The sequence below is a fragment of the Homo sapiens genome, chromosome 19, assembly GCF_000001405.40.
Source record: "Homo sapiens chromosome 19, GRCh38.p14 Primary Assembly".
Classification (NCBI taxonomy): domain Eukaryota; kingdom Metazoa; phylum Chordata; class Mammalia; order Primates; family Hominidae; genus Homo; species Homo sapiens.
Genome location: NC_000019.10, coordinates 12,890,667 through 12,916,698, shown reverse-complemented (window position 1 = coordinate 12,916,698; position 26,032 = coordinate 12,890,667). Strand labels below are relative to the sequence as shown.

Here is a 26,032-nt window from a genome sequence, read left to right as displayed (position 1 = left end):
ACTTGAGCCTGGGAGGTCGAGGCTGCAGTGAGACGTGATTGCTTCACTGCACTGGAAGAGCAAGACCCTGTCTCAAAAATAAATAAGTGAATAATGTGATTTCAACTGGTGGCAAGTAAGTGGAATGAAGAAACAAAATATAGTAAGGAGCAAGTAGAGTGACAGGGACCTTAGAGCAGTTGGAGAACTCTGAAGAGGTCACATGAGAAGAGGCCAGCCAGGAGGCATTCTGGGCCCAAACCTTCCACGCAGAGGGGGCCGCAAGTATGAAGTCCCTCAGGTAGGAATAAGCTTGATGTGTTCTCAAAAGAGCAAGAAGGAGGCTCATGTTGGCCGGGCGCAGTGGCTCAACCTGTAATCCTAGGACTTTGGGAGGCCGAGGCAGGCGGATCACGAGGTCAGGAGTTCGAGACCAGCCTGGCCAACATAGTGAAACCCTGTTTCTACTAAAAATACAAAAAATTAGCCAGGCGTGGTGGCGCATGCCTTTAATCCCAGCTACTCCGGAGCCTGAGGCAGGAGAATTGCTTGAACCTGGGAGGCAGAGGTTGCAGTGAGCCAAGATAGCACCATTGCACTCCATCCTGGGTGACAGAGTGAGACCCTGTCTCGAGGAAAAAAAAAAAAAAAAAGGCTGATATGGCAGTATTGTGATTGGCAGCAGGGACACTCCTGTCCTCCAGACAGACATGCTCATACCCTCCTGCTGTTTGCATCTGACCAAACACCAACAGGGAAGAGATCATGGTGCTGGGAGACCTTTCCCCTGTGGGCAGCCAGCCTGGAATGGGGAGCCAGGGAAGGTGTCCTTGTAGAAGAGATGTTGAAGCAGAAAGTGTGGGCAGGGTGGGGAAGGAGGGGTTGAGAGAAGAGCTCGTGCGAAGTCCCTGCTCGTGGCATTCGGGGGAGCTAAAGGAAGGCCAGTGTGGCTAGGCGAGCGAGTGGGGTACAGGGGTGAGTGCAAGGGGAGGGCTGCAGAAGGGGCCAGGTTATGAGGCATTTTGTGGGCTACAGACTTTATCCTAGAGGTTTTTTCAGTAACAGCTTTGAGATATAATTCCCATAGCATACGGTTCACCTTTTTTTTTTTTTTTTTTGAGATGGAGTCTCGCTCTGTTGCCCAGGCTGGAGTGAGGGGGCATGATCTTGGCTCACTGCAACCTCCCCCTCCCAGATTCAAGCAATTCTCCTGCCTTAGCCTCCCGAGTAGCTGGGACTACAAGCATGTGCCACCAGGCCTGGCTTTTTTTTTATATATTTTTGGTAGAGACGGGGTTTCACCGTGTTAGCCAGGATGGTCTCAATCTCCTGACCTCATGATCCGCCCGCCTCGGCCTCCCAAAGTGCTGAGATTATAGGCGTGAGCCACCGCGCCCGGCTCACCTCCTTGAAGGGTATGATTTGATTGCTTTTGGTATATTCAGAGCTGGACAACCATTCTCATAGTCAACTTTAAAACAGCTTCATCACTCCAGGCCAGATACAGTGGCCTCCCAAAATGCTGGGATTACAGGCGTGAGCCACTGCATCTGGACTTCATCTTTTCAATGGCTGAATAATATTCCACATGAGTCTACCACATTTTGTTTATCCACTCATCTGTTGATAGTCATTCGGGTGGTTTTCACTTTTTGGCTATTATGAGCAGCACTGCTATGAAATCCATTTAGAAAAGTTTGTGTGTGGACAGATGATTTCATTTCTTCTGGGCATACTCATACCTAGGAGGGGAACTGCTGGGTCACAGAAGTGACATGCTCAGGTTCCCGTTATAAAAAGATACGGCTGCAGGCCGGGCACGATGGCTCATGCCTGTAATCCCAGCACTTTGGGAGTTCGAGGTAGATGGATCACCTGAGGTCAGGAGTTCAAGACCAGCCTGGCCAACATGGCAAAACCCCGTCTCTACTAAAAATACAAAATTAGCCAGGGGTGGTGGTGCATGCCTGTAATCCCAGCTACTTGGGAGGGTTAGGCAGGAGAATCGCTTGAACCTGGGAGGCAGAGGTTGCACTGAGCCAAGATTGCACCATTGCACTCCAGCCTAGGCAACAAGAACAAAACCCTGTCTCAAAAAATATTAATAAAAAAATATGGCTGCTTTGTAGAGAATGGTTGGGAGGGAGAATGTGTGGGTGTAGGGAGGTCTAGTGGGAGGCTTTTATGGGGGGTGTGGGGGGGGTGGCCTTTAGCAGGGCAGATGGAGGAAGTGCCTTGTGCCATAAGACACAGGAAGGGGATGAGGGAGGATGTTTCCCGGCCATGATGTACTGGGGCCAGCTCCTACCGGCTTGAAAGAGCCAATTCTACACATCTCTTCCCAACTTGGCATTTAGCGTCTTCATGTTGGTAGCCTGAAATTGGCTAATGGTGGGAGGCTCTGCACCACGGAAATTGGCAAACACTACGAATCAGGGCTTCCCCCCCATCACACAGCCAGTTGCTAAATGCTTACAAGCACATCACTGCTGTCTGCTTTCCAGCTTGTGGTGGTTTCCGGTAGGTGGTGGCTTCTCTGGCAGAGACAAGAACATGAGTTCTGTGTTGTCCTTGTTTATCTGAGCCACTTTCGGTGGCCAGGGACATCCACATGTCCAGGATACAGTTCAACTTTCTGACCCGGAACTCGGGGTGGGGTGAGGGTCTGGAGATGGTTCTGTGGGAGTCATTGTTTCAGCAGCAGCTGTGGAATGAATGAGCTCACCTGGAGAAGGAGTGAGAGGAGGGTCAGGACAGGGCCCTGAGGACTCTAGGCAGAAAGCAAGCCAGCTTCCCTCTCCTCGCACATTCCTCTGCTGGAAAGCAGGCCACGCGTGAAATGGTTTATAGGTGTGTGCTGTCAATTGGAGACCAAAAAAAAAGGGAAGCAATGGTTGAAGTCGTTTGTTTGCTAATACCTTACTGCGGAATAGCATGTTTAGACCAGGATCTGTGTAGTGAAGAGACACAGACCGCTGCAAATCATTTAGAGACTTCAAGGAGCTCCACAGGAACCCTGGGCCAAAAAACAGATAGATTAAAACCAGTGCAGGGGCCAGTTAATAGATCCAGCAGCAGATACTCAGCAACATGATTAAAATGTTAACACGTTTCCAGAGAGAAAAGGAGAGGTTGAGGAACTGGCTCATCAGCTTCCATTCAAACCTTCCCCCTTCCTGGCTGTACTTCAGCAAAACATTGTTTTGCCCAAGCGCCAGAGATTCTGTTGTGTTCCCCCCTTGAATGTTTGATTAGCTTGCCTCCTCTCCCGGGACTGCCACCCTCGGTGGTCATAAGTGGCTGGCGGATTGTTTACTTGTATATCTGTTAGAGGCCACGGAGGGAGGGCCCCACCAGCGGGCAGTTCTGGCTCAGTCGCCTGCCAATCACAGCTTTACCTGGAGCGAACAGATGGTCTCTTCGCTTAGACCCATTTCCTCCGCAGCTCCTGGGCCCCCTGCCAGCGTGGGCCCTGCTTGGGAACTATGTCCTAATCCTCGCAGCCAAATTAGGGACTTCTTAGAAGGACAGACCATAATAGATGAACGCAGCGCTGTGTTCACAGCCCCCAGCCCGCTGCCCAATCCGGGCGCAGGCCATGCACACCCGACGTGCTGTGTTGGGCTGACTTGCATTCTCTGGCCTCGGTCCAGGGTTCGGCAACAGAAGCCAGCCTAGGAACCGGGAAAGCCAGCAGAGAGGACACCACGCATTTTGTTTGTTAAAGTTAATTGGTGAATGCAGGCCCAGGGAAGCCTATGATTCATTAGCATCCTGATTAATATGCAGCTGCTGTGTATTAAGAAAAATGAAATCAAAAGGGATAAATCCCCAAAGGAGAGGTTGGAAAAATAAAGAAGCTCTCAGCAGACATCTGATGCAGGCCTTTGTCCTACCATGAAACTCGAATTAGCTGAATTCAAGTGATTTTTTTTTTTTTTTACTGTTTGCTTAGCTGCCATGAAAACCGGTTCCAGCCTCATCCCTTGAGCCTTAAAAAGGAGCAGCTCTGAACCATTAGCAGCTCAAGCAGGTTGTGAACAATCACACAAAAAGAAACACCTGGTGCTCTCATCGATTTTAATTTTAGGGTCTGAAACTGTTGAGAGCATCCAGGAGAGGCTGAGACAACAAGGTGAACTGGGTACGAGGAGGTGTGGGAGCCCCAATGTCAGTGCTGCATTCATTTAGATATTCAGCAAACTGATGAAACCTTTGGGGTGCTGCAAAACAAATGAGTAGGGTGTAGTCTGCACCCTCAAGGTGTCGTGCGCTGGAGGGGACTGATGTTCATAAACTTTGGCAGCTTTGTGACCAGCAAGGCCTAGGTATAGCGGGGGGTAGAGAAGCAAAAGTTCCAAATGTTCCATTATGAAGGAGGCAGGAAGGGAAAGTCATTCCAGGCAAAGGCTGACATGTTTGGGGAAATTGTGGTAGGTCCCCAATTGCTGCAGATGGAGGGGCTGTAGAAAACAGTAAGGCTAGATCGGGCTTGGTGGCTCACGCCTGTAATCCCAGCACTTTGGGAGGCCAAGGCGGGCAGATCACGAGGTCAGGAGTTCGAGACCAGCCTGGCTAACATGGTGAAACCCTGTCTCTACTAAAAATACAAAAGTTAGCTGGGTGCAGTGGTGGGCACCTGTAATCCTAGCTACTTGGGAAGCTGAGGCAGGAGAATTGCTTGAACCCGGGAGGCAGAGGTTGCAGTGAGCCGAGATCGTGCCACTGCACTCCAGCCTAGGTGACAGAGCAAGACTCTGTCTTGAAAAAAACAAACAAACAAAAAGAAAACAGTAAGGCTGCACTGGGCACGGTGGCTCACGCCTGTAATCCCAGCAATTTGGGAGGCCAAGGCAGGTGGATCACCTAAGGTCAGGAGTTCAAGACCAGCCTGGCCAACATGGTGAAACCCTATCTCTACTAAAAATACAAAAATTAGCTGGGCATGATGGCAGGTGCCTGTAATCCCAGCTACTCAGGAGGCTGAGATGGGAAAATCACTTGAACCTGGGAGATAGTGGTTGCAGTGAGCCGAGATCGTGGCACTGCACTCCATCCTGGGCAGCTGAGCGAGACCTCGTCTAAAAAAAAAAAAAAAAAAAAAGGCAAAAATTATCCAGGCATGGTTGGTAGGCACCTGTAATCCCAGCTACAGGGGAGGCTGAGGTGGGAGAATTGCTTGAACCCAGGAGGTGGAGGCTGCAGTGAGCCAAGATCATGCCACTGCACTCCAGCCTGGGCGACAGAGTGAGACCCCTTCTCAAAAAAGAAAAAAGAAAGAAAAAGAAAAAAACCCATTAAGGCTGGAAGAGAGGGTGGAGGCCAGGGCCCTGGAAGGCCTTGTATGCTGTGTGAAGGAATTTAGACTTGATCTTGTGGCTGGTGGGGATGGTTTTAGGCTAACAAACAGGAGTAGGAAATCAGATTACAGTGTAGAATGTCACTAGGGGCTGACACTGTGGCTCACGTTTGTAATCTCAGCACTTTGGGGGCCGAGGCAGGATTTTTTGAGGCCAGGAGTTTGAGACCAGCTTGGGTAACATAGCAAGACCTCCATCTATACAGAAAAATTAAACAAAATTTAGCCAGGAGTAGTGGTACCCGCCTGTAGTCCTAGATATTCAGGAGGCAGAGACGAGAGGATCACTTGAGCCTGGGGGAGTTCAAAGTTGCAGTAATTGTACTGATGTACTCCAGCTTGGCAATGTAGCAAACCCTGCCTTCAAAAGAAAAAAAAAGGTCAGGCCGGGTGCGGTGGCTCACGCCTGTAATCCCAGCACTTTGGGAGGCCGAGACGGGCGGATCATGAGGTCAGCAGATTGAGACCATCCTGGCTAACATGGTGAAACCCCGCCTCTACTAAAAATACAAAAAATTAGCCAGGTGTGGTGGCGGGCGCCTGTAGTCCCAGCTACTCGGGAGGCTGAGGCAGGAGAATGGCATGAACCCGGGAGGCAGAGCTTGCAGTGAGCCGAGATTGTGCCACTGCACTCCAGCCTGGGGGACAGAGCGAGACTCCATCTCAAAAAAAATATATATATATAAAAGGTCAGGCGTGGTGGCTCATGCCTATAATCCCAGCACTTTGGGAGGCCGAAGCAGGCGGATCACTTGAGGTCAGGAGTTTGAGACCAGCCTGGCCAACATGGTGAGACCCTGTCTCTACTAAAAATACAAAAATTAGCCGGGCGTGGTGGTGTGTGCCTGTAGTCCCAGCTACTCAGGAGGCTGGGGCACGAGAATGACTCGAGCCCAGGAGGTGGAGGTGGCAGTGAGCTGAGATTGCACCACTCCAGCCTGAGCGACACTCCAGCCTGTCACTCCAGCCTGAGCGACCGAGTGAGAGTCTGTCTCAAAAACAAAATAATAATAACAAAATTTTTTACAAAAGAAAATTTCTTACAAAAGAAAAAAAAATTTTTTAACATAAAATTTATTACAAAATTTTTTACAAAAATAAATAAGTAAATAAAATAAAGGTCCCTATGGCCTAGTTGAGAAGTGAAAGTTATAGAGCTGCTAATGATGGTAGATTTAGAGACATTAAGAAGGTAGGGCCGGGCATGGTGGCTCACGCCTGTAATCCCAGCACTTTGGGAGGCTGAGGCAGGTAGATCACGAGGTCAGGAGTTGGAGACCAGCCTGGCCAAGATGTTGAAACCCCGTCTCTACTAAAAATACAAAAATTAGCTGGGTGTGGTGGCAGGTGCCTGTAATCCCAGCTACTTGGGAGGCCGAGGCAAGAGAATCGCTTGAAACCGGGAGTTGGAGGTTGCAGTGACCTGAGATCGCTCCACTGCACTCTAGCTTGGGCAACAAAGCAAGACTCTGTCTCAAAAACAAATAAATAAAAAGGCTGGGCACAGTGGTTCATGCCTGTAATCCCAGCACTTTGAGAGGCCGAGGAGGGCGGATCACCTGAGGTCGGGAGTTTGAGACCAGCCTGACCAACATGGAGAAACTCCGTCTCTACTAAAAATACAAAATTCGCCAAGTGTGGTGGTACATGCCTGTAATCCCAGCTATTCGGGAGGCTGAGGCAAGAGAATCGCTTGAACCCGGGAGGCGGAGGTTGCAGTGAGCCGAGATCGCGCCATTGCACTCCAGCCTGGGCAATAAGAGTGAAACTCCATCTGAAAAAAAAATTAATTAAAAATAAAAATAAAAAAACAAAGAAGGTAGAAATGAGGGGATTTTGAGACAGGATGCAGAGGGACAGAGAGAAGCTGGACTCTAGGCTTGCTGCTAAGTTTTGAGCTTGGGAACCAGGTGGCTTTTTATGTCATTAACTAAGGGAATGGAAGATGAAATCGGGTTGCCTGGGAGATGACGCTTTTGGTTGTGCAAATGTGGAGTTTCAGATGCCTTTGAGACAGCCATGTGGGGAGGCTGGGAGGTTTCATATATTCTTGGGTCCTCAGGAGAGAGGCATGGGCTGGGATGATAGAATTTAGATGATAGAATCCAAAGTGTGGATGGTAATGGATAGTACTCGCAAGTCATTTACTTATTAGCAGCACATTTATTGCTTCTCTCATGAGGGGTAAGTACTGAAGATACAAAGATGAAGGATGGCCCTGGCCCTTCAGCAGACTACAGTGGGAGGCCAAGGTGTAAACAGTGAAACCGTAGGTGCTGTGTGCACCTAATCCAGCCAAGGAACACTTTCTGGAGGAGACAGGACGTAGGTGGGAAAGGGGACTGTTCAGGGATCCCATGCTACGGGAATGAATGCCTTTGGAGAATAATAGCCTGTGCATTGTGGAATGGTGGCTGGGATATTAGCTGCAGGGGCCAGCAGGGAGGAGGCATGGAGGCCTCACTGCAGAACAAGTGTGTGATTGACGGTGTCTGGCAAGAAGACAGCAGAGGCCCAAGCACAGACCTCTGGGATACCACATGTCGGGAGTAGCAGGGAAGGGTGGTCAGCAGTGCTGGCTGCTGCCAAGAGGTCAGCATGTCACTCTGAGATGTCTATCGGTCTAACCACAAGGTCATGGTGACTGTGGTAGGAGCTGTTTCATTTGAGAACCGGGGGAGGAACCTGATTACAATGGACTGAAAAGTGAATGGGGGTAAGAAAATAAGCCCAGGATGGCCGGGCGCGGTGGCTCACGCCTGTAATCCCAGCACTTTGAGAGGCTGAGGTGGGCAGATCATGAGGTCACGAGATGGAAACCATCCTGGCTAACACGGTGAAACCCTGTCTCTACTAAAAATACAAAAAATTAGCCGGGCGTGGTGGCGGGCGCCTGTAGTCCCAGCTACTCGGGAGGCTGAGGAAAGAGAATGGCGTGAACCCGGGAGGCAGAGCTTGCAGTGAGCTGAGATCATGCCAGTGCACTCCAGCCTCGGTGACAGAGCGAGACTCTGTCTCAAAAGAAAAGAAAAGAAGCCCAGGGTGAGACTCTCTCTCTCTCTTAAAAAAAAAAAAAAAAAAAAAGCCCAGAAAATTTAAGCAGCTCCTTCTAGAACCTTGGCCTTGATGGGGAGGAAAGAGGGAGGTGGCCGGCTGGGGGAGACCGGGTGGAGAGGGGAGGGGTGTATATGTGTGTTGTGGTTGTTTTGTTTGTTTGTTTGAAACAGGGTCTCACTCTGTCGCCCAGGCTGGAGTACAGTGGCGTGATATCATCTAGGCTCCAGTGCAGTGGCATGATCAAGCTTACTGCAGCCTTGACCTCCCGGGCTCAAGTGATCCTCTCACCTCAGCCTCCTAAGTAGCTGGGACTACAAGTACACACCACCACACTCGGCTAATTTTTGTGTTTTTTGTAGAGATGGGGTTTTGCCATGTTGCCCAGGCTGGTCTCAAAACCCTGAGCTCACGATTCACCTGCCTTAGCCCCCCGAAGTGCTGGTATTACAGGCGTGAGCCCACTGTGCCTGGTTGAGATAGCTGAGATTTATTTTTATTTTATTTTATATTTTTGAGATGGAGTCTCGCTCTGTTGCCCAGGCTGGAGTGCAGTGGCACGATCTCAGCTCACTGCAACCTCTGCCTCCCAGGTTCAAGCGATCCTCCTGCCTCAGTCCGCCTAGTAGCTGGGATTACAGACACATGCCACCATGCCTGGGTAATTTTTGTATTTTTAGTAGAGACGGGGTTTCACCATGTTGGCCAGGCTGATCTCGAACTCCTGATCTCTGGTGATCTACCCGCCTCGGCCTCCCAAAATGCTGGGATTACAGGCGTGAGCCACTGTGCCTGGCCAAGATTTATTTTTGTAAGTAATCAGTAACCTGCTTGTGGACACAAGTGTGACCTGCTGCATTCAGGAACTGCTCTGTCCACACCTACAAGGCTTGGCCTTTCAGAGCTGGAGGACCTCAGAGGGCGACGAGGAAATGTAAGATCCAGGAGGGGAGTGGCGCCTGAGTGCCTTAGTAGGAAGCAGGATACCAGCTGGGAAGTCAGGCCTTCTGGGTACAAAGCCCAGCTCTGCCACAGACTGTCCTCCACCTTGAGAAGGTGGTGTAACCACTCTAAGCCCATGTCGTAAAGAGAACAGCAGATGACCCGAGTGTGGTCGTGAGGATGCACCAAGACAAGGCATGTGACTTAGCTCAGTGCCGGGAACATGGCTGAGGAAAAGTTAGCTGTGACTCACAGGGGCAGCTCTACCTGGCCAGAACCGCTAACTGATCAGACGTCAAACCGGTCAAATAAACCAGAGCATCAGAAGAAGAAAAAATATATCTTAATTTAAAATACCAATGGGTTGCCTTATCAGATCACATTTTTTCCATAAACTTCATTCACAATGCATTACCCACAATTTTCAGTTGTTTTAATTTATTTTAATTTAATTTAATTAATTTATTTATTTTTGAGACGAAGTCTTACTCTGTTGCCCGGGCTAGAGTGCAGTGGTGTGATCTCGGCTCCCGAGTTCAAGCGATTCTTGTACCTCAGCCTCCTGAGTAGCTGGGATTACAGGCGCCTGCCACTGCGCCTGGCTAATTTTTTGTGTTTTTAGTAGAGATGGGGTTTCACCATGTTGGCCAGGCTGGTCTCGAACTCCTGCCCTTGTGATCCACCCACCTCGGCCTCCCAAAGTACTGGGATTACAGGCTTGAGCCACCGCGCCCGGCCCCAGTTCTGTTTTTAAAGCAGAGAACAAGGCCTTGGCAGAGCAATCTATATGCAGAATTTTTCTAGATTTTTATGATCTTTGCTTCAATTTTAGTTCTCTCTCCCATACCCAACTGAAGTTCCATTTTATTACATTGAATATTATGAAGTTACGGAACATTACATATTACTCAAAATTTTTCATTCTGTTTAGCTTTTTAGATAGCTGTCACTCTTCTGCCACTATTTCACTTGTTAACACAATATTTGAATTACATAATTACAGTTACATGTACAACATGGGACCAACAACTTTTTGTGTGTGCGCATTTCTTTAAATGCTCTTTAAATATAATTCAACAGGTATTCACCTCACCTGGTGGGAGCAAGGAGGTGCAGGTACACTGTAGCCCCAGGCGGTCAACATCACCCAGTAGGTTGGGAAAGGGATGCAGCAGGTTAATGACAGGAAGGTCACTTAAGAAAGCATCAGGCTGGGCGCAGTGGCTCACGCCTGTAATCCCAGCACTTTTGGAGGCCGAGGCAGGAGGATCACTTGTCAGGAGTTCGAGACCAGCCTGGCCAATATGGTGAAACCCTGTCTCTACTAAAAACACAAAAATTACCTGGGTGTAGTGGTGTGCACCTGTAATTCCAGCTACTCGGGAGGCTGAGGCAGAAGAATGGCTTGAACCTAGGAGACAGAGGTTGCAGGAGATTGCTGATTGCATCAGTCAGGCGCAGTGGCTCATGCCTGTAATCCCAACATTTTGGGAGGCCAGAAGTTTGAGAGCAGCCTGAATAACATAGTGAAGCCCAGTCTCTATTTAAAAATTTTAAAAATTAGCTGTGCATGGTAGCACATGCTTGTAGTCCCACCTATTCAGGAGGCTGAGGTGGGAGGATCACTTGAAGCTGACACTGCAGTGAGCTATGATTGTGCCACTGCACTCCAGCCTGGGCAACAGAGAAAGACCTGTCTCTATAAAAAAAAAGAAAATAAGAAAGAAAGCATTGGGCTGGGCGCGGTGGCTCACGCCTGTAATCCCAGCAGTTTGGGAGGCTGAGGCGGGCGGATCACGAGGTCAGGAGATGGAGACCATCCTGGCTAACACGGTGAAACCCCGTCTCTACTAAAAATACAAAAAATTAGCTGGACGTGGTGGCGGGCGCCTGTAGTCCCAGCTACTCAGGAGGCTGAGCCAGGAGAATGGCATGAACCCGGGAGGTGGAGCTTGCAGTGAGCCGAGATCGCGCCACTGCACTCCAGCCTGGGCGACAGAGTGAGACTCCGTCTCAAAAAAAAAAGAAAGAAAGCATTGACACTATTATTGGTATTCCAAAATTCCAAAGAAGCAAGTTGGTGTCATAAAATAACAGTGGGCTTTGGGGACAGACAGACCTCCTTGGTCTGGAACCTTGGGCATATTTAGTCGTGCCTCTTGGTCTGTTTTCTCAGCTATAAAATGGGGGTGCCATTCTCATCATTCAGGGCGTGTGTGTGAATGGAATAACCTAGGAAGCATGCCTCGTGTCACCCATGGAAGGCAACAACGCGGGTCCCCTCCCACCTGATCTCTCTCAGATCAGCCGCTCTTGGAAGAGTCTGGTGCTGATCTCAGCATCCTGTCCTTTTTTTTTTTTTAGACGGAGTCTCGCTCTGTCACCCAGGCTGGAGTACAGTGGCGTGATCTCGGCTCACTGCAACTTCATCCCCTGGGTTCAAGCAATTCTCCTGCCTCAGCCTCCCAAGTAGCTGGGACTACAGGCACGTGCCACCGTGCCTGGCTAATTTTTTGTTTTTTTGTTTTTACTAGAGACGAGGTTTCACCATGTTGCCAGGCTGGTCTCGAACTCCTGACCTTGTGATCCGCCCACCTCGGCCTACAAAGTGCTGAGATTACAGGCATGAGCGACTACACCTGGCCGCTTCCTGTACTCTGAGAAGTCAGGTTTCTTGCCCTTGTGTCGCCACCTCCAGTGCCAGTTGCCAGCTGACGGTCCTGGAAGGGAAGTCGGGACTCTACTTCTCCTCTCTGGACTCAAGCATTGACATCCTGCAGAAGAGAGCCCAGGAGCTGATCGAAAACATCAACAAGAGCCGGCAAAAGGACCATGCACTCATGACCAACTTCAGGAACAGCCTGAAGACCAAGGTGACAGACTCCACCCAGCGAGAGGGGGGATTCCTTATGCAAAAGGGGAGGGAATGAACCACTGATGGTGTCTGTTGTACACCAGGCACGGTGCTAGGCCATTCACACACAGCACAGGAGCTCCTCCACTTATGATGGGGCTACGTCCCAATAAACCCATTGTGAGTTGAAAATGCTGTAAGTCAAAAATGTAGTAAGTTGAACTGTAGTAAGTTGGGACCATCTGTATCTCAATTTACCCTTAGAATAGTCCTACAGAGAAGAGATTGGACCCATGATATAGATAAGGCTTGGAAATGAATGATTTGCCTGACGAGAGAGCCAGGCTGAGGGAGCGGGGCGTTGGATGCCCTCCTGCCTCCAACACGCAGCCCTCTTACTTCACGCAAGGTCGAGCAGCCACGGGAGTAGGGGGTTGAGGCACAACTTGCATTGTCACACCCATATGTCCTGCAGAAGCCATCGAATGGTCTGTGACGGGGGAGTGGAGCTTCTTCCACATGCCCAGGGCTTACATCTTGCAAAAGCTGGTGTGATGTTCAGGTCCTACATGAATGGTTGCACCTGATGCCTCTTCAGAATATATAATGGGGGGACCAGGCACAGTGGCTCACGCCTGTAATCCCAGCACTTTGGAAGGCCGAGGCAGGTGGATCACTTGAGGCCAGGAGTTCGAGACCAGCCTGGCCAACATGGTGAAACCACGTCTCTACTAAAAATAAAAAAATTGGCTCAGTGCAGTGGCTCTGCACGGCACTGCAGCCTGGGCTAGAGAGCAAGATTTCGTCTCAAAAATAAATAAATAGGGGCCAGGTGTGGTGGCTCACGCCTATAATCCCAGCACTTTGGGAGGCTGAGGCAGGGGGATCACAAGGTCAGGAGATGGAGACCATCCTGGCCAACATGGTGAAACCCCGTCTCTATGAAAAATACAAAAATTAGCTGGGCATGGTGGTGCGCGCCTGTAGTCCCAGCTACTCGGGAGGATGAGACAGAATTGCTTGAACCTGGGAGGCGGAGGTTGCAGTGAGCCGAGATTGCACCACTGCACTCCAGCCTGGTGACAGGTGAGACTCCGTCTCAAAAAAAAAAAAAGAAGAGGGCCGGGCGTGGTGGCTCAGGCCTGTAATCCCAGCACTTTGGGAGGCCGAGGCGGGCAGATCACGAGGTCAGGAGATCAAGACCATCCTGGTTAACATGATGAAACCCTGTCTCTACTAAAAATACAAAAAATTAGCTGGGCGTGGTGGCGGGCGCCTGTAGTCCCAGCTACTCAGGAGGCTGAGGCAGGAGAATGGCCTGAACCCGGGAGGCGGAGCTTGCAGTGAGCAGAGATCCCGCCACTGCATTCCAGCCTGGGTGACAGAGCAAGACTTCATCTCAAAAAAAAAAAAAAAGAAGAAAAAGAAGACTGCCTCTTTCTGGTTTTTTCTTTTTCTTTTTTTTTTTTTTTTGAGACAGAGTCTCGCTCTGTTGCCCAGCCCAGGCTGGAGTAGAGTGGCACGATCTTGGCTGTCTCGAAAAAAAAAAAAAAATTAGCCAGGCATGGTAGCACGTGCCTATAATTCCAGCAAACAAACAAACAAACAAAATACATAATGGGTCACATGAGTGGGACAGCTTGCTGGTTCTAGGTGTCTTGATGACAGATTGACTTTATTTTCCTTTTTCTTTTTTTTTGAGACAAGCCTTGCTGTTGCCCAGACTGCAGTGCAGTGGTGGAATCATAGGTCACTGCAATCTTGAACTCCTGGGCTCAAGCAATCTTCTCACCTCAGCCTCTCGAGTAGCTTGAGACTATAGGCATGCAACATCATGCCCGGCTCACTTGTTTTATTTATTTATTTATATTTTTAGAGGTGGCGTCTCACTCTGTTGCCCAGGCTTACAGAGCAGTGGCACGATCACAGCTCACTGGAGCCTCAAACTCCTGGGCTCAAATGATCCTCCCACCTCTGCCTCTTAAGTAGCTGAGACTACAGGTGTGCACCACCATGCCCAGCTAATTTTCTTTAAACATTTTTTTTGTAGAGATGGGATCTTGCTATGTTACCCAGGCTGGTCTTGAACTCCTCACCCTGCTGCCTTGGCCTCTAGTAGAAAAGATACAAAAACATTTATTTATTTATTTATTTATTTTGATACAGCACCCAGAGGCCACTTTGTTGGATGCCTCTTCTATTCTGTGTACTTTCTTCCTAACCTGGCTGAGCTTGTACTGTACAGTTTTGTGACATGCATCCCTAGGTGACACTGTCATCATCTGAACATCATAGATTGAATTTACACAAACCTAGATGGTATAGTCTACTACACACCTAGGCTACGTGGAAGAGCCTATTGCTCCTAAGCTACAAACCTGCACACAGCATGTTACCATACTGAATACTGTAGGCACTTATAACATGATGGTAAGTATTTGTGTATCTAAATATATATAAACATAGAAAAGGTACAGTAAAAATATGGCATTATACTCTTATGGGCCATCATTGTATATACAGTCTGACATTGACCAAAATGTCATTATGCAGCACACGACTGTATATACTTTTGCCTCTTAAAAAAATTTAACAGGCCAGGTGCAGTGGCTCATGCCTGTAATCCCAGCACTTTGGGAGGCTGAAGGTGGGGATCTCCTGAGGTCAGGAGTTGGAGACCAGCCTGGCTAACATGGTGAAACCCCGTTTCTACTAAAAATACAAAAAGTTAGCTGGGTGTGGTGGCGCTCGCCTGTAATCCCAGCTACTCGGGAGGCTGAGGCAGGAGAATCGCTTGAACCCAGGAGGCGGAGGTTGCAGTGAGCCAAGATCATGCCATTGAACTCCAGCTTGGGCAATGAGAGCGAAACTCCGCCGCAAGAAAACAAAACAAAAAAAGCAAAAAAATTTAAAATATAGGCAATCTGACCCCCAGTCACTGCACTGGGTTTTAGTTTTTGGTGTTTTTCTTTTCTTCTTTTGAGGTAGGGTCTCTCAGGCTGGAGTGCAGTAGTGTGATCATGACTCACTGTAGCCTCCAACTCCTGGGCTCAAGTGATCCTCCTGCCTCAGCCTTCCGAGTAGCTGGGACTGCAAGTGCGCGTCACCTATGCCTTGCTAATTTTTTTTTTTTTGAGACGGAGTTTTGCTCTTGTTGCCCAGGTTAGAGTGCAATGGCATCATCTTGGTTCACTGCAACCTCCACCTCCCAGGTTCAAGCAATTCTCCTGTCTCAGCCTCCCGAGTAGCTGGGATTACAGGTGCACACCACCATGCCCAGTTAGTTTTTATGTATTTGTGTATTTATTTATTTATTTATTTATTTATTTATTTATTTATTTTGAGATGGAGTCTTGCTCTGTAGCCCAGGCTGGAGTGCAGTGGCGCGATCTCAGCTCACTGCAAGCTCCGCCGCCCGGGTTCACGCCATTCTCCTGCCTCAGCCTCCCAAGTAGCTGGGACTACAGGCGCCCGCCACCTCGCCCGGCTAAATTTTTTTGTATTTTTAGTAGAGACGGGGTTTCACAGTGGTCTCGATCTCCTGACCTCGTGATCCGCCCGCCTCGGCCTCCCAAAGTGTTAGGATTACAGGCGTGAGCCACCACACCCGTCCTAGCTTTTATATTTTTAATAGAGATGGGTTTTCACCATGTTGGCCAGGTTGGTCTTGAACTCCTGGCCTCAAGTAATCCACCCACCTTGGCCTACCAAAGTGCTGGGGTTACAGGCATGAGCCACCGTGCCCAGCCTATTTTGTCATTTTCATAAGATAAATTGCAGAAATCTAAGAAACCCACTTAACACAGATGTCTTGTGATACCTCTTGTTTGATTTTCCGAGAACACATCTTATTGTTTAACAGGTTTCGGATCTGACAGAGAAATTAGAGGAGAGGATCTATCAGATTTATAATGACCACAACAAGATCATCCAGGAAAAGCTCCAAGAGTTCACCCAGAAAATGGCAAAGATCAGCCATTTGGAGACAGAGCTCAAACAAGTCTGCCACAGCGTGGAGACTGTGTACAAAGACCTGTGTCTCCAGCCTGAGGTATGAGTAAACTCACAGGGGGGGCGCTGCCTGAGGAAGAGGACAGGGATGGCCCAGCCAAGAGTAAATGTGAACAGAAACCAGGCACCCAGCCCTGACCCCGCCAGGCCACAGTCCCTGCAAAGCCCTTGGTGCACTCACCATCTTGTTTGTGATCCCCTATAACATGGTGTGTCTGAGCTGAGAAGCCAAACCGTTGTCATGTCCCACTGTTGTATGAGCAGCTCTGTGGTGACAGAAAGGACAAAGTCCCTTGCACCCCTGCCACTCAGAAATCATCCCCTCTGCCCACAGCCCTGGCACAGACCGGCACTGCTAACCTGGGTTTCTTTTTTACAGCAGAGCCTAAGACTCAGATGGGGGCCAGACCACTCTAGGGGAAAGTCCCCACCACGTCCCGGCAACTCACAGCCCCCAGACGTGTTCGTTTCTTCTGTGGCTGAAACTACTTCTCAGGTGGTTACCAGTAAACCGGCCTGACACCTTGGGGTCAGATGTGCAGGTCTTTATTTTCCTCTCCCTCACTCTGCTCCAACACCCAGCATAAGGCACTACCCCCAGATGGGAGGGAGGGAGGGCGCACTGTGAACTCAGTGTGAGGGGGTCAGCTGCAGCAGACGGAGTTGCTTCCATGTCACTCTCCTCTCAAGAGAAGCTGCTATTTCAGGGTAAATGGAGTCTGCTCTCATCCATGGTTAAAAGTGGATTGAGACGCTCTACAGAGAATTCCATCTTCTTTTTAAGGAACACATCTGAACGACTTCAGAAGGGAAATTTTGATATTTAAAAATCAGTGTCTCTCACTTCCCACTCCATCCGCCACCTCCCTTTCTAAGCTCAGAGCACAGCGCTCCTACGGTCCAGCCAGGCATCTCTCCAGAAAGGGGCTTGAGAGTTTCGGGCCCCTGATGGAGCGGCTCACTTGCTGGCCGTGAACGCCTGGATTCCCGTGATAGCTCTCCCAAGGATCAGGGCGTGAATGTCATGTGTACCTGGACAAGATTAATACAGAGTCGGTTTGGAGTTTTCATAGCTCACAACTTCCCTTTAAAATCAATTTTCATGTATCCCCAGGCCACTGCTTCAGAAGTACAGACCAACAGAGATGGTGAATGCTGACAGCTGCCGGGAGACTCACGCCTTAGTGACAGTCTCCAGGAGAAGACTGTGAGGCCACCATTTGGGCCACACTGAGAAATTGTTTTTCATGGTTCTATAATGCATCTTGGCAGAAAAAAACAAAAACCCAAAGCTCCTTGTGCTGAACTCCCAAAATGTAGCAAGTCCAGCCCCTGCCATAGGCCCAGGCTTCGTGCTCCCCACCCTTGGCAAGTTCTCCCCACCCCCAGCCCCACAGTTTATTAAATGTTTGATTTTCAACCTGGCCACGCTTCCTTGCCACAGAGGCTGAAAGCACCCCTGAGCTCCAAGGAAACACAGCAAGCCCTTTCTTACCCTCGGGAGGGATAGGAGGGACAGCACATCGGAAGAGCAGTCACTTGCCTCAGCTGACCTCTGCCCATCTGAAGCCGCCTCTCCCAGAGAATCCCACACCCCATGCCCTGGTGTCTCATCCTTTGCTCCTCCCCAGCTCCTTGAAGCAGAAGGCAGATTGTAGCCTCCTTTTTAGAGCCAATTCTGTTTACTTCCTAAAGTACAAACCTATTTTTTTTAAATATAGATAGGGTCTCACTCTGTCACCCAGGCTGGAGTGCAGTGGGGTGATCATAGCTCATCATAACTTCTAACTCCTGGGCTCAAGCAATCCTCCTGCCTTAGCCTCCCAAAGCGCTGGGATTACAGGTGTGAGCCACTGCGCCGAGCCCCTAAAGCACCAAATCTGACTCATCCCTTCTCTGCATAAAACCATCTCATGGCGCCCGCTGCTTGTCCTCAGGGTCATTCTCACATTTGTAGGATCCCCCCACCCCCCAGATGCCAGATAGAGACAAGATCTGGGGTTGCAAGGTGCGCAGGGAAGGCACCCCTCCTGCATTTGCTGTTCTCTCTGTCTGGAAGCATCTCTGCCCGGGGGGTCCTCATACCTCCCTCTATTTCTACATAGCGCATGCTGGGTTTGCACTTTTTTTTTTTTTTTAAGTATCTTTTTCCACATCTGTCTTCCCACCAAGCAAGGGGTTCTGGACCCCCATGTAAATCACCATCAGTTACAGGGTGCAAACACCGTCATCTGAAGATGACTTTTGTCTCTTAACAAAATGGAGCGTTGATTCCTGCGTGTAGCTTCGCTCACTCCCTTGCGTCCACCAGCCTGCTAGGAGTCGGGCCTCACCCCTGGGCTGCCTTCGGAGCTTACCTGTCTCAGGAACATCCCTCCTCCCGAGCATGTGGGAGAAAGAGCTGGGAGCCCCTCGCAAGGCCTGATGGGGCCTCTGTGTGCTGCATGAAGCACTTCACTTCCACAGTCCCCATGTGAGTAACTCCAGATGAGGGACAGAGGGGTAAGGCTCGCCCCAGGTCACACTGTCACTTAGTGATAGGTGGAGTTGGACTCAGACCTGTCCCCGTCCCACCTCCCTGTACCCCCTCCCCAGACACTGAGGCCTCAGTGAGCCCTCTGAGGTCCAGCTCCTACCTTCGTAGGTGTTCACGGCCTCCAGGTTCATGGCGTGCCGGATCACGTGATACTCGTCAGAAATCCCATTCCCCCCCAGCATGTCTCGGGCCTGGCGGGCGATGTCCAGGGCTTTCCCACAGTTATTCCTCTTCAGCAGAGAAACCATCTCGGGGGCAGCCCTGGGAGTGGCACATGAGGGTAACAAGGACTGGGGATCCTGGCATCCCGATGCTCCAAGCAAACCTAGCCCGGGGTGGGGATTCCCTGATGCAGCCAAGCTCCCAATGAGGGACCAGTGGGGCTGTCCTCAGCCCAGCCCATCAAGGACAAGAGGGACAGCAGAAGGTTCAGGTCCCCAGGGCCACCAGGCAGGAAGGACCTTTCTCTCCAGGAAGGACACAAGGTCCTCCAGCCACCGCTGCCATCCCCCCGCCCCCACCACACAGCCCCTACTTGTCCTGGTCCTTCAAGCGGCCGAGCTGCAGGCAGGCGTGAAGGCCCAGGGTAATCTCAGTGAGCATGTCTGCCAGCTTCTTCTGAATCAGCTGGTTCCTGGCCAGTGGGACACCAAACTGCATCCTACATGGGCAATGGCAGGGTAAGAGCGAGGGGAGGCCCACTCTCCCACCCCGTCCCTGTCCTGGGGCCCCCTGCTCCAGGACGCCTTCCCAGGCTGCCTCAGTGCCCCCAAGCTTGCCCTGGCCCTGCCGTTGACTCAGCCCACAGCTGCTCAGAAGGACGTCACTGGTCATTCCAGAGCAAGGAACTCAGGCCTGGTGGGTGGGGGCTGGGGAGTCACCCATGGTATAGAGAGTGAAACCCAAGCTGCCCCACACCCCCAGAGAATCTCACTGCAGCCCTCACACACCTGTCGAGGGCGTACTGCCGGGCTGTGTGCAAGCAGAACTCCGAAGCTCCAAGCACGCCCCACGCGATGCCGTACCGGGCGTTGTTCAGGCAGCCGAAGGGACCCTGTAGGGTTGAGATGGCGCCTCAGGCCCACCCAAGAGACACCAAGAGGGCCTATGCAGAACCAACTCTGAAGCAGGGAAAGCCTCCTCCCCAGCCACCCCACGCAGGGGGACTCAGGTTGTGGTTCACATCACAGATGGCCCTGGCACTGAAGCTCGGTGCCTGCTCACTCGGTTTGCACACAGTCCCACCCAGCCTGGCATCTGGGTTCGATGCTCAGAGCCAGGAGGCTGACGGATGCCAGAAGATGCACTGTGAGTCAAATGACTGAGCTGGTTCAGGCCCATGTGTCCCGGGCAGAGCCGGGATGAGCGAGACGGTCACCAAATGGGGGCAGTTTTCAGCACGTCAGCGAGTCCGGCTGAGTAAGAATCACCACTGTGTGGGCTCCACAGGCACAGGGAGCCGCGTCCCCAGCACGGAGCCTGCCTGACAAAGCCGCATCCGCAGGTGACCCAACACCCATTCCCAAAGTGGCTGCCACTTACCCCCAGGCTGGATGCACCAGGGAGCACATTCTCCTCTGGCACCTCCACACCGTCCATGATGATCATGCCTGTGGCTGAGGCCCGCAGCGAGAACTTGCCCTGGATCCTGGGGGCCGAGAGACCCCGCATCCCCTTCTCCAGCAGGAAGCCCCGAATGCAGCCATCTTCACACCGAGCCCACACTACAAACAGATCGGCCATAGGCGAGTTCGTGATCCTGGGGATGGAACAGTCGGTGAGGGGTCTGACCAGTGCCCCTTTGCCCCTGTTCACCACCTGCCCACCACCCAGAACCCTTACCAGGTCTTGGTCCCATTGAGGGTGTAGCTCTTGTTGGATGAGTTGTAGTGGGCTCTGGTCTCCATGCTGCTGGGGTCACTTCCGCTGTTGGGCTCTGTGAGCCCGAAGCAGCCCAGGAGCTCCCCCTTGGCTGCAGGCACAAGACAAAGTCACAAGGCTGCCTGGTCCCTGATACATCCCCTTACTCAAAAATTATCCTCGTGGCGGGGTGCAGTGGCTCACGCCTGTCATCCCAGCACTTTAGGAGGCCAAGGCAGGTGGATCAATTGAGGTCAGGAGTTCCAGACCAGCCTGGCCAACATGGTGAAACCCCATCTCTACTTAAAAAAAAAAAAAAAAAAAAATAGCCAGATGTGGTGGTGGGTGCCTGTAATCCCAGCTACTCAGGAGACTGAGGCAGGAGAATCGCTTGAACCCGGGCAGGAGAGGTTGCAGTGAGCCAAGATCATGCCACTGCACTACAGCCTGGGCAACAGAGCAAGACTCCATCTCAAAAAAGAAAAAAAATCCAGCCTGACCAATATGGTGAAACCCCATCTCTACTAAAAATACAAAAAATTAGGCCAGTCGAGGTGGCTCACACATGTAATCTCAGCACTTTGGGAGGCCAAGGCAGATGGATCACTTGAGGTCTGGAGTTCGAGACCAGCCTGGCCAACATAGTGAAACACCATCTCTACTAAAAATACAAAAATTAGCCAGGCACGGGTAGCAAGCACCTGCAATCCCAGCTAATTGGGAGGCCGAGGCACAGGAATTGCTTGAACTGGGGAACCGCAGGTTGCAGTGAGCCAAGATTGTACCACTGCACTTCAGCCTGGGGGACGGAGCGGGACTTTGTCTCAAAAAAAGAAAAAAAAAATTACCCTCGCCCCTGAGTCAGACCTCATAACTAAGTTAGATCTGGCCCTGCTTTCAAGAGACAGGTTACCCCAAAGTCATGATCACAATGCCAAGATGGGGAGGGGGACCCAGGGAATCAGGAAGGAGTTGGCCAAACTGGAAGGGTGTGAGGAGTTAAGCAGGAGGAGGCTGTGGGGAAGAGCAGTGCTGGGAGAGGGAACAGATGTGTAAAGAACTGGTGGTACTTCTGGAGAATTTCAAGTAGCTAAGTCTGGCTGGGAGGATCACATGAGTGGCCAGAGATGAGGTGGAAAGGTCAGCAGAGGCCTGGTCACACAGGGCCTTGTGGGTTTTTTTTTTTTTTTGCGAATCTGATCTTATTTGTTACTCAAAAAATCTTATTTCTGACTGGATTCAGACTTAGAAGTGGAAGCTCGCAGAGAGGACAGTCTGCGTCTCTTCACGATTTGTCCCTGGTGCTTCTTAGCCTCCTTCATTCTCTTGGCCAAAAGTTTAGCATATTCTGCAGCCTCTTCTTTATTTTTCTTAATATGCGGCTGCTTCAGAGCAATACGCCGCTGTTTGTGCTGCAGGACATGTGGAGTGACAAGGCGCTGAATCTTGGGTGCTTTGGTCCTAGGTTTCTTACCTTCTTTGTTTAAGGGCTTTTTTACAACATACTGGCAGACATCATTTTCTTTAGAGAGACTGAAAAGTTTACGGATTCTGCTAGCTGTACTGGGCCCCAGGTGACGAGGCATCATAGTCTCAGTCAGTCCAGGAATACCCTTCTCTCCTTTTTTTTACAATAACCAAGTTGAGAACACTCAGATTGGCATCCACGATGCAACCATGAACTGATCTTCTCTTTCTTTCTCCAGTTCTCCTTGGTCTGTAATAGGAATGCCCCTTACTCAGTAGCAAGTGGACACGGCCATGGGTCAAGACACCCTGTTTCAAGGGGAAACCTTGTTTATTGTTCCCACCACTGATTCCGACCACGTAACCCTTCCATTCTTCACCCAGAGCGTCAACAGCAACTTCTGTGGCCATACGCTTCTCATAAAAAGTACAAAGTTTGCGTTCATCGTCCACTTCAATGAGTTTCTGGCAGCCAGTGGCTGGGAAGGAGATGTTCAGCTTCATCTTGAAGCAGCTGAACACCTCCGAGACACCACGGAAGAGGGCCAACGTCCACTTAGCGCAGGTCACATAGGCTCTTTCCTTTTTTTGTTTTTCTAATAGACATGGGGTCTCCTTACGTTGCCCAGGCTGGTTTCGAACTCTTGGGCTCAAGGGATCTTCTCACTTCACCCTCCCAAAGTGCTGGGATTATAGGTGTGAGCCACTGCAAATGGCCAGCAGGAACCTGGTGGACTTTAAACTTTGGGCTGGACTGGGGAACACAGAAAGCATAGGGAGATGACGGTGGTCACAGAGGGGGACAGTCAGGCTGGCCAGGGATCAGATCTCCAGGTGAAGCCCAGGGTCTGGCGGGGGTCCAGGTGGCCACTTATGCTATCTTTGAGATAGGGACAGAATAGGCTCAGGGGACAGCCCCACCCTTGAGTTCCAGACCTCAGAGACTGTCTTCCTTCCACCAGGCCCCATGGGCAGCCACTCACCCAGCTGGGGCAGGTACTTCTGCCGCTGTTCCTCGCTGCCATAGGCATAGATAGGGTGCATGACGAGGGAGGACTGGACACTCATCGCCGACCTGTAGCCACTGTCCACCCGCTCCAGCTCTCGGGCCAGGAGCCCATAGGCCACAGACGAAACCCCAGCACAGCCATATCCTGGTGGTAGTAGGAGGGGAAAGCAGGACAATAGAGAACAGGGCCCTGCCCAGCTAAGACCCAAGAGACAGGGCTGAATAAGGACACACAAGGAGGCAGGCACCAAGCTGGCCCTAGCTGAGGTTTATTCATTTCATCTCCACAGCCACTTTCAGAGGGTGGGACAACAGCCCCACTTTACAGACTGGGAAATTGTGGCTTAGGGAAAGAAGGGGGCTTTCAGTAAGGCAAGAGGATCACTTGAGAACAGCCTGGGCAACACAGTGAGACCCTGTCTCTAAAAAAAGAAACAAAGGGGCCAGGCACGGTGGCTCACGTTTATAATCCCAGCACTTTGGGAGGCCGAGGTGGGTGGATCACCTGAGGTCAGGAGTTCAAGACCAGCCTGGCCAACATGGTGAAATCCCATTTCTACTAAAAAATACAAAAATTAGCTGGGCGTGGTGGTGCACCCCTGTAATCCCAGCTACTCAGAAGGCTGAGGTGGCAGAATTGCTTGAACCTAGGAGGAGGAAACTGCAGTGAGCCAGGATCGCACCACTGTAATCCAGTAATCCAGGCTGGGTGACAGAGCGAAACTCCATCTCAAAAAAAAAAAAAAAAGAAAAGGGCCGGGCAACGGTGGCTCACACCTGTAATCAGGAGGCTGAGGCGGGTGGATCACCTGAGGTCAGGAGTTCGAGACTAGCCTGGCCAACACGGTGAAACCCCACCTCTACTAAAAATACAAAAATTAGCCAGGCGTGGTGGCGGACGCCTGTAATCCCAGCTACTCGGGAGCCTGAGGCAGGATAATCACTTAAACCCGGGAGGTGGAGGCTGCAGTGAGCCAAGATTGCATCACTGCACTCCAGCCTGGACAACAAGAGCGAAACTCCATCTCAAAAAGAAGGCTGAACGTGGTGGCTCATGCCTGTAATCCCAGCACTTTAGGAGGCTGAGGTGGGCGGATCACCTGAGGTCAGGAGTTTGAGACCAGCCTGGCCAACACAGTGAAACCCTGTCTCTACTAAAAATACAAAAATTAGCCAGGCATGGTGGCACATACCTGTAATCCCAGCTACTAGAGGGGTGGAGGCAGGAGAATCGCTTGAGCCTGGGAGGCAGAATTTGCAGTGAGCCAAGATCGTGCCACTGCACTCCAGCCTGGGCAACAGAGCCAGACTCTGTTGGGGGGGAAGAAGAAAGGAAAGAAAAGGAAAAGAAAAGAAAGAGAAGGAAGGAAGAAAGGGAGGGAGGGAAGGAGGAAGAGGCTTTCAGAATACAGAGGGTTCTGCAGTGTGTGGAGAGATACTTGTTCCTACCTTTGATGGTGGGGCCCAGCACACCCAACTCCCCCATCTCCGAAATGATCTCCCGATGAAAAACTGCAAAGGGACCAGTGCCCAAATTCAGGCCCAGGCCTAGGCCACAGGAAGCCCCAGCCCCAAGGACAGAGGGGCCTTGAGGTGGGGTGGCTATGGCTCCAGGCGGAGGAGCAGTCTCAGGGCACCCACCAGCCCGCCCACCTTCGTTGCGATTGGCCAACAGGATGCGAGGCATGAGTCTCTCCTGGCAGTAGGTGCGGAAGGTGTCCCTGATGAGGATCTCATCTGTGGTCAGCTGCTCCTCCAGCACCAGCGGGTCCTGCCAGTCAAACTCGGGACGCGAGGCTGGGAAGGGGAATTCGCCTCGGTCCAGTCCGCAAGATCACTGTGCCCTCCCTTCTCGGACCCTCATCAGCCCTACCCCCCAACACCCATGTCGCCCCCCGGCTAGTGCGAGCTGCAAGCGAGACTGATCAGGTGACTTTTCTCCGGCCCCGCAGGCACAGCGCACTCACTGCCTTAGTGCCTCTGACCCTGGCCACGACCCTGCCACCCCGCTCGGGCAGCTCTCGGATTCTGGGACAGAGTCCACCTGCGGCAGACAGACAGCTGAACAGGGGCAGCAGACACACGGTGCGACCAGAGGTCCTTACACTTAGCCAGTTGGCTCTGTGTTCTCCCGCCTTTCTCTGCAAGCACAGAACGGGAAAGTCACCCCGGAAAGTCCCTAAACCCCCAGTTCCTCCCTCCTTCCCTCCACACTCCCGACCCCACACTGACCGGTCTGCGCCGCCGACGAGACCCACGTGCGAAGGACGTGCAGGCCGGGTCCGCGGCTCAGCAGCCGCACGGAGACGCCTCTCAGGGCCATGCTCTCTCAGAGCGAGCGGAGCAACGACGGCGACCTACAGGAGCGGGGGTGTCAGAGCGGAGCTCCTCTCACCCACGGCTGGGGCTACCGCACCTTCCTTACCTGGTAGTACCTCCCGGTTCACTGCCGAGGCTACAGTGCAACTGACGCAGGCCTTTGACCTCAGCAAGAAGTGGGAGGAGCGGAGGCCGAGTGAGGCTTTTCATTGGTTCCTCCTAGAATCCGGCCCCCTCCGCAGCTCTGCCTTTTAAAAGGGCTAAGGTAGCCTTGCCTGTGGAAATCGGGGGGCCCAGACAGAGATAGGCTAGCCCCTTTAAGAAGCGGACGGGGTAGGGGCGGAAGACGAGTGCGGGAAACCGATTGGCCAGCTGGGTTTCTCCTCTTATTGGCCGTAGGAAAGGGCTCGGCCCACTCCTGGTTGGTCAGTTGCAGGGGGTGTGTGCGGAGGGAGTCAAGAATTAAACAAAGAAATTCTGGCGCGAGCACTAGGCGTCCTCCTGAACCCAGGAGGCCAGACTCGAGTTCTCTAATTGGGTGCTGGTTGTGGGGAAGACGAGCTCCAAGTGGGCGATCTTAGCAAACCTTTCTGCCAGTCTGTCCCAGGAAGCACATGTAGATACTTGTGACTCTGTGTGTGT

The 26,032-nt window shown here is 51.4% G+C and overlaps 2 protein-coding genes and 1 pseudogene across 6 annotated transcripts in view, besides 14 other annotated features; 1 reads left to right on the top strand and 2 right to left on the bottom strand.

Annotated features, from left to right (window-relative positions):
- SYCE2 (synaptonemal complex central element protein 2) overlaps positions 1-17,913 on the top strand; it is a 20,508-nt gene extending 2,595 nt beyond the window's left edge. The window contains exons 3-6 of one of the 2 annotated variants that reach the window (XM_011527882.3): positions 12,033-12,207; positions 16,051-16,239; positions 16,582-16,695; positions 17,314-17,913. In XM_011527882.3, coding sequence (XP_011526184.1) covers positions 12,033-12,207; positions 16,051-16,239; positions 16,582-16,695; positions 17,314-17,358 — 523 coding nt within the window. In that variant the 3' untranslated portion in view covers positions 17,359-17,913. Of the gene's footprint in view, positions 1-12,032; positions 12,208-16,050; positions 16,240-16,578; positions 16,696-17,313 lie in introns of both variants that reach the window. The other variant, NM_001105578.2, reaches the window with a different exon arrangement.
- Positions 2,690-2,984: a silencer, noted in NCBI's record as "tiled region #4901; HepG2 Repressive non-DNase unmatched - State 2:TssF, and K562 Repressive DNase matched - State 8:EnhW". NCBI's record gives its function as "represses a minimal TATA promoter and a strong SV40 promoter by Sharpr-MPRA in HepG2 and K562 cells {active_cell/tissue: HepG2 | K562}" and the evidence as "EXISTENCE:reporter gene assay evidence [ECO:0000049][PMID:27701403]".
- Positions 2,690-3,549: a biological region, named in NCBI's record as "Sharpr-MPRA regulatory region 4901".
- Positions 2,848-3,549: an enhancer, noted in NCBI's record as "NANOG-H3K27ac-H3K4me1 hESC enhancer chr19:13023964-13024665 (GRCh37/hg19 assembly coordinates)". NCBI's record gives its function as "activates a minimal SCP1, AML or CMV promoter by ChIP-STARR-seq in naive H9 embryonic stem cells {active_cell/tissue: H9 hESC(naive)}" and the evidence as "EXISTENCE:reporter gene assay evidence [ECO:0000049][PMID:30033119]".
- Positions 4,251-4,953: an enhancer, noted in NCBI's record as "H3K27ac hESC enhancer chr19:13022560-13023262 (GRCh37/hg19 assembly coordinates)". NCBI's record gives its function as "activates a minimal SCP1, AML or CMV promoter by ChIP-STARR-seq in primed H9 embryonic stem cells {active_cell/tissue: H9 hESC(primed)}" and the evidence as "EXISTENCE:reporter gene assay evidence [ECO:0000049][PMID:30033119]".
- Positions 5,754-5,922: a silencer, noted in NCBI's record as "fragment chr19:13021591-13021759 (GRCh37/hg19 assembly coordinates)". NCBI's record gives its function as "represses an EF-1alpha promoter that drives an FKBP-Casp9 reporter gene in an ReSE screen in K562 erythroleukemia cells {active_cell/tissue: K562}" and the evidence as "EXISTENCE:reporter gene assay evidence [ECO:0000049][PMID:32094911]".
- Positions 7,708-8,208: a transcriptional cis regulatory region, noted in NCBI's record as "genic|chr19:13019305-13019805 region (GRCh37/hg19 assembly coordinates) targeted for CRISPR interference". NCBI's record gives its function as "negatively regulates KLF1 gene expression in K562 cells {active_cell/tissue: K562}" and the evidence as "EXISTENCE:mutant phenotype evidence [ECO:0000015][PMID:31784727]".
- Positions 16,168-17,367: an enhancer, noted in NCBI's record as "BRD4-independent group 4 enhancer chr19:13010146-13011345 (GRCh37/hg19 assembly coordinates)". NCBI's record gives its function as "activates an origin of replication core promoter dependent on BRD2, P300/CBP, MED14 and CDK7 cofactors, and independent of BRD4, by STARR-seq in HCT116 cells {active_cell/tissue: HCT116}" and the evidence as "EXISTENCE:reporter gene assay evidence [ECO:0000049][PMID:35650434]".
- Positions 16,500-16,769: an enhancer, noted in NCBI's record as "active region_14091". NCBI's record gives its function as "activates an Ori minimal core promoter by ATAC-STARR-seq in GM12878 lymphoblastoid cells {active_cell/tissue: GM12878}" and the evidence as "EXISTENCE:reporter gene assay evidence [ECO:0000049][PMID:35858748]".
- GCDH (glutaryl-CoA dehydrogenase) lies at positions 16,700-25,570 on the bottom strand. Of its 4 annotated transcripts, none has more exons than NR_102316.1 (12): positions 25,497-25,570; positions 25,304-25,428; positions 25,177-25,212; positions 24,725-24,868; positions 24,265-24,382; positions 23,046-23,216; positions 20,578-20,707; positions 20,278-20,494; positions 19,686-19,789; positions 19,271-19,396; positions 18,836-18,996; positions 16,700-17,231 (listed from the first exon to the last, which is right to left on the bottom strand). NR_102316.1 is itself a non-coding variant. In NM_000159.4 (12 exons), exons 2-12 carry the CDS (start codon positions 25,392-25,394, stop codon positions 17,158-17,160), a joined length of 1,317 nt encoding a protein of 438 aa, NP_000150.1. In that variant the 5' UTR covers positions 25,395-25,428; positions 25,497-25,539; the 3' UTR covers positions 16,700-17,157. The 4 variants fall into 4 exon arrangements, 2 of the variants coding, with proteins under 2 accessions (NP_000150.1, NP_039663.1); NM_000159.4 differs by lacking the exon at positions 24,265-24,382 and adding an exon at positions 24,521-24,583 and having other exon boundaries at positions 25,497-25,539; NM_013976.5 differs by lacking the exon at positions 24,265-24,382 and adding an exon at positions 24,521-24,583 and having other exon boundaries at positions 16,730-16,999; positions 25,497-25,539.
- Positions 16,840-16,899: a silencer, noted in NCBI's record as "silent region_10181". NCBI's record gives its function as "represses an Ori minimal core promoter by ATAC-STARR-seq in GM12878 lymphoblastoid cells {active_cell/tissue: GM12878}" and the evidence as "EXISTENCE:reporter gene assay evidence [ECO:0000049][PMID:35858748]".
- Positions 21,788-22,605, bottom strand: RPS6P25 (ribosomal protein S6 pseudogene 25; annotated as a pseudogene).
- Positions 24,757-25,394: an enhancer, noted in NCBI's record as "H3K27ac-H3K4me1 hESC enhancer chr19:13002119-13002756 (GRCh37/hg19 assembly coordinates)". NCBI's record gives its function as "activates a minimal SCP1, AML or CMV promoter by ChIP-STARR-seq in primed H9 embryonic stem cells {active_cell/tissue: H9 hESC(primed)}" and the evidence as "EXISTENCE:reporter gene assay evidence [ECO:0000049][PMID:30033119]".
- Positions 24,757-26,032: a biological region, named in NCBI's record as "H3K27ac-H3K4me1 hESC enhancers GRCh37_chr19:13001481-13002118 and GRCh37_chr19:13002119-13002756". NCBI's record gives its function as "regulatory_interactions: KLF1".
- Positions 25,321-26,008: a transcriptional cis regulatory region, noted in NCBI's record as "promoter|chr19:13001505-13002192 region (GRCh37/hg19 assembly coordinates) targeted for CRISPR interference". NCBI's record gives its function as "positively regulates KLF1 gene expression in K562 cells {active_cell/tissue: K562}" and the evidence as "EXISTENCE:mutant phenotype evidence [ECO:0000015][PMID:31784727]".
- Positions 25,395-26,032: an enhancer, noted in NCBI's record as "H3K27ac-H3K4me1 hESC enhancer chr19:13001481-13002118 (GRCh37/hg19 assembly coordinates)". NCBI's record gives its function as "activates a minimal SCP1, AML or CMV promoter by ChIP-STARR-seq in primed H9 embryonic stem cells {active_cell/tissue: H9 hESC(primed)}" and the evidence as "EXISTENCE:reporter gene assay evidence [ECO:0000049][PMID:30033119]".
- Positions 25,731-25,989: a silencer, noted in NCBI's record as "fragment chr19:13001524-13001782 (GRCh37/hg19 assembly coordinates)". NCBI's record gives its function as "represses an EF-1alpha promoter that drives an FKBP-Casp9 reporter gene in an ReSE screen in HepG2 liver carcinoma cells {active_cell/tissue: HepG2}" and the evidence as "EXISTENCE:reporter gene assay evidence [ECO:0000049][PMID:32094911]".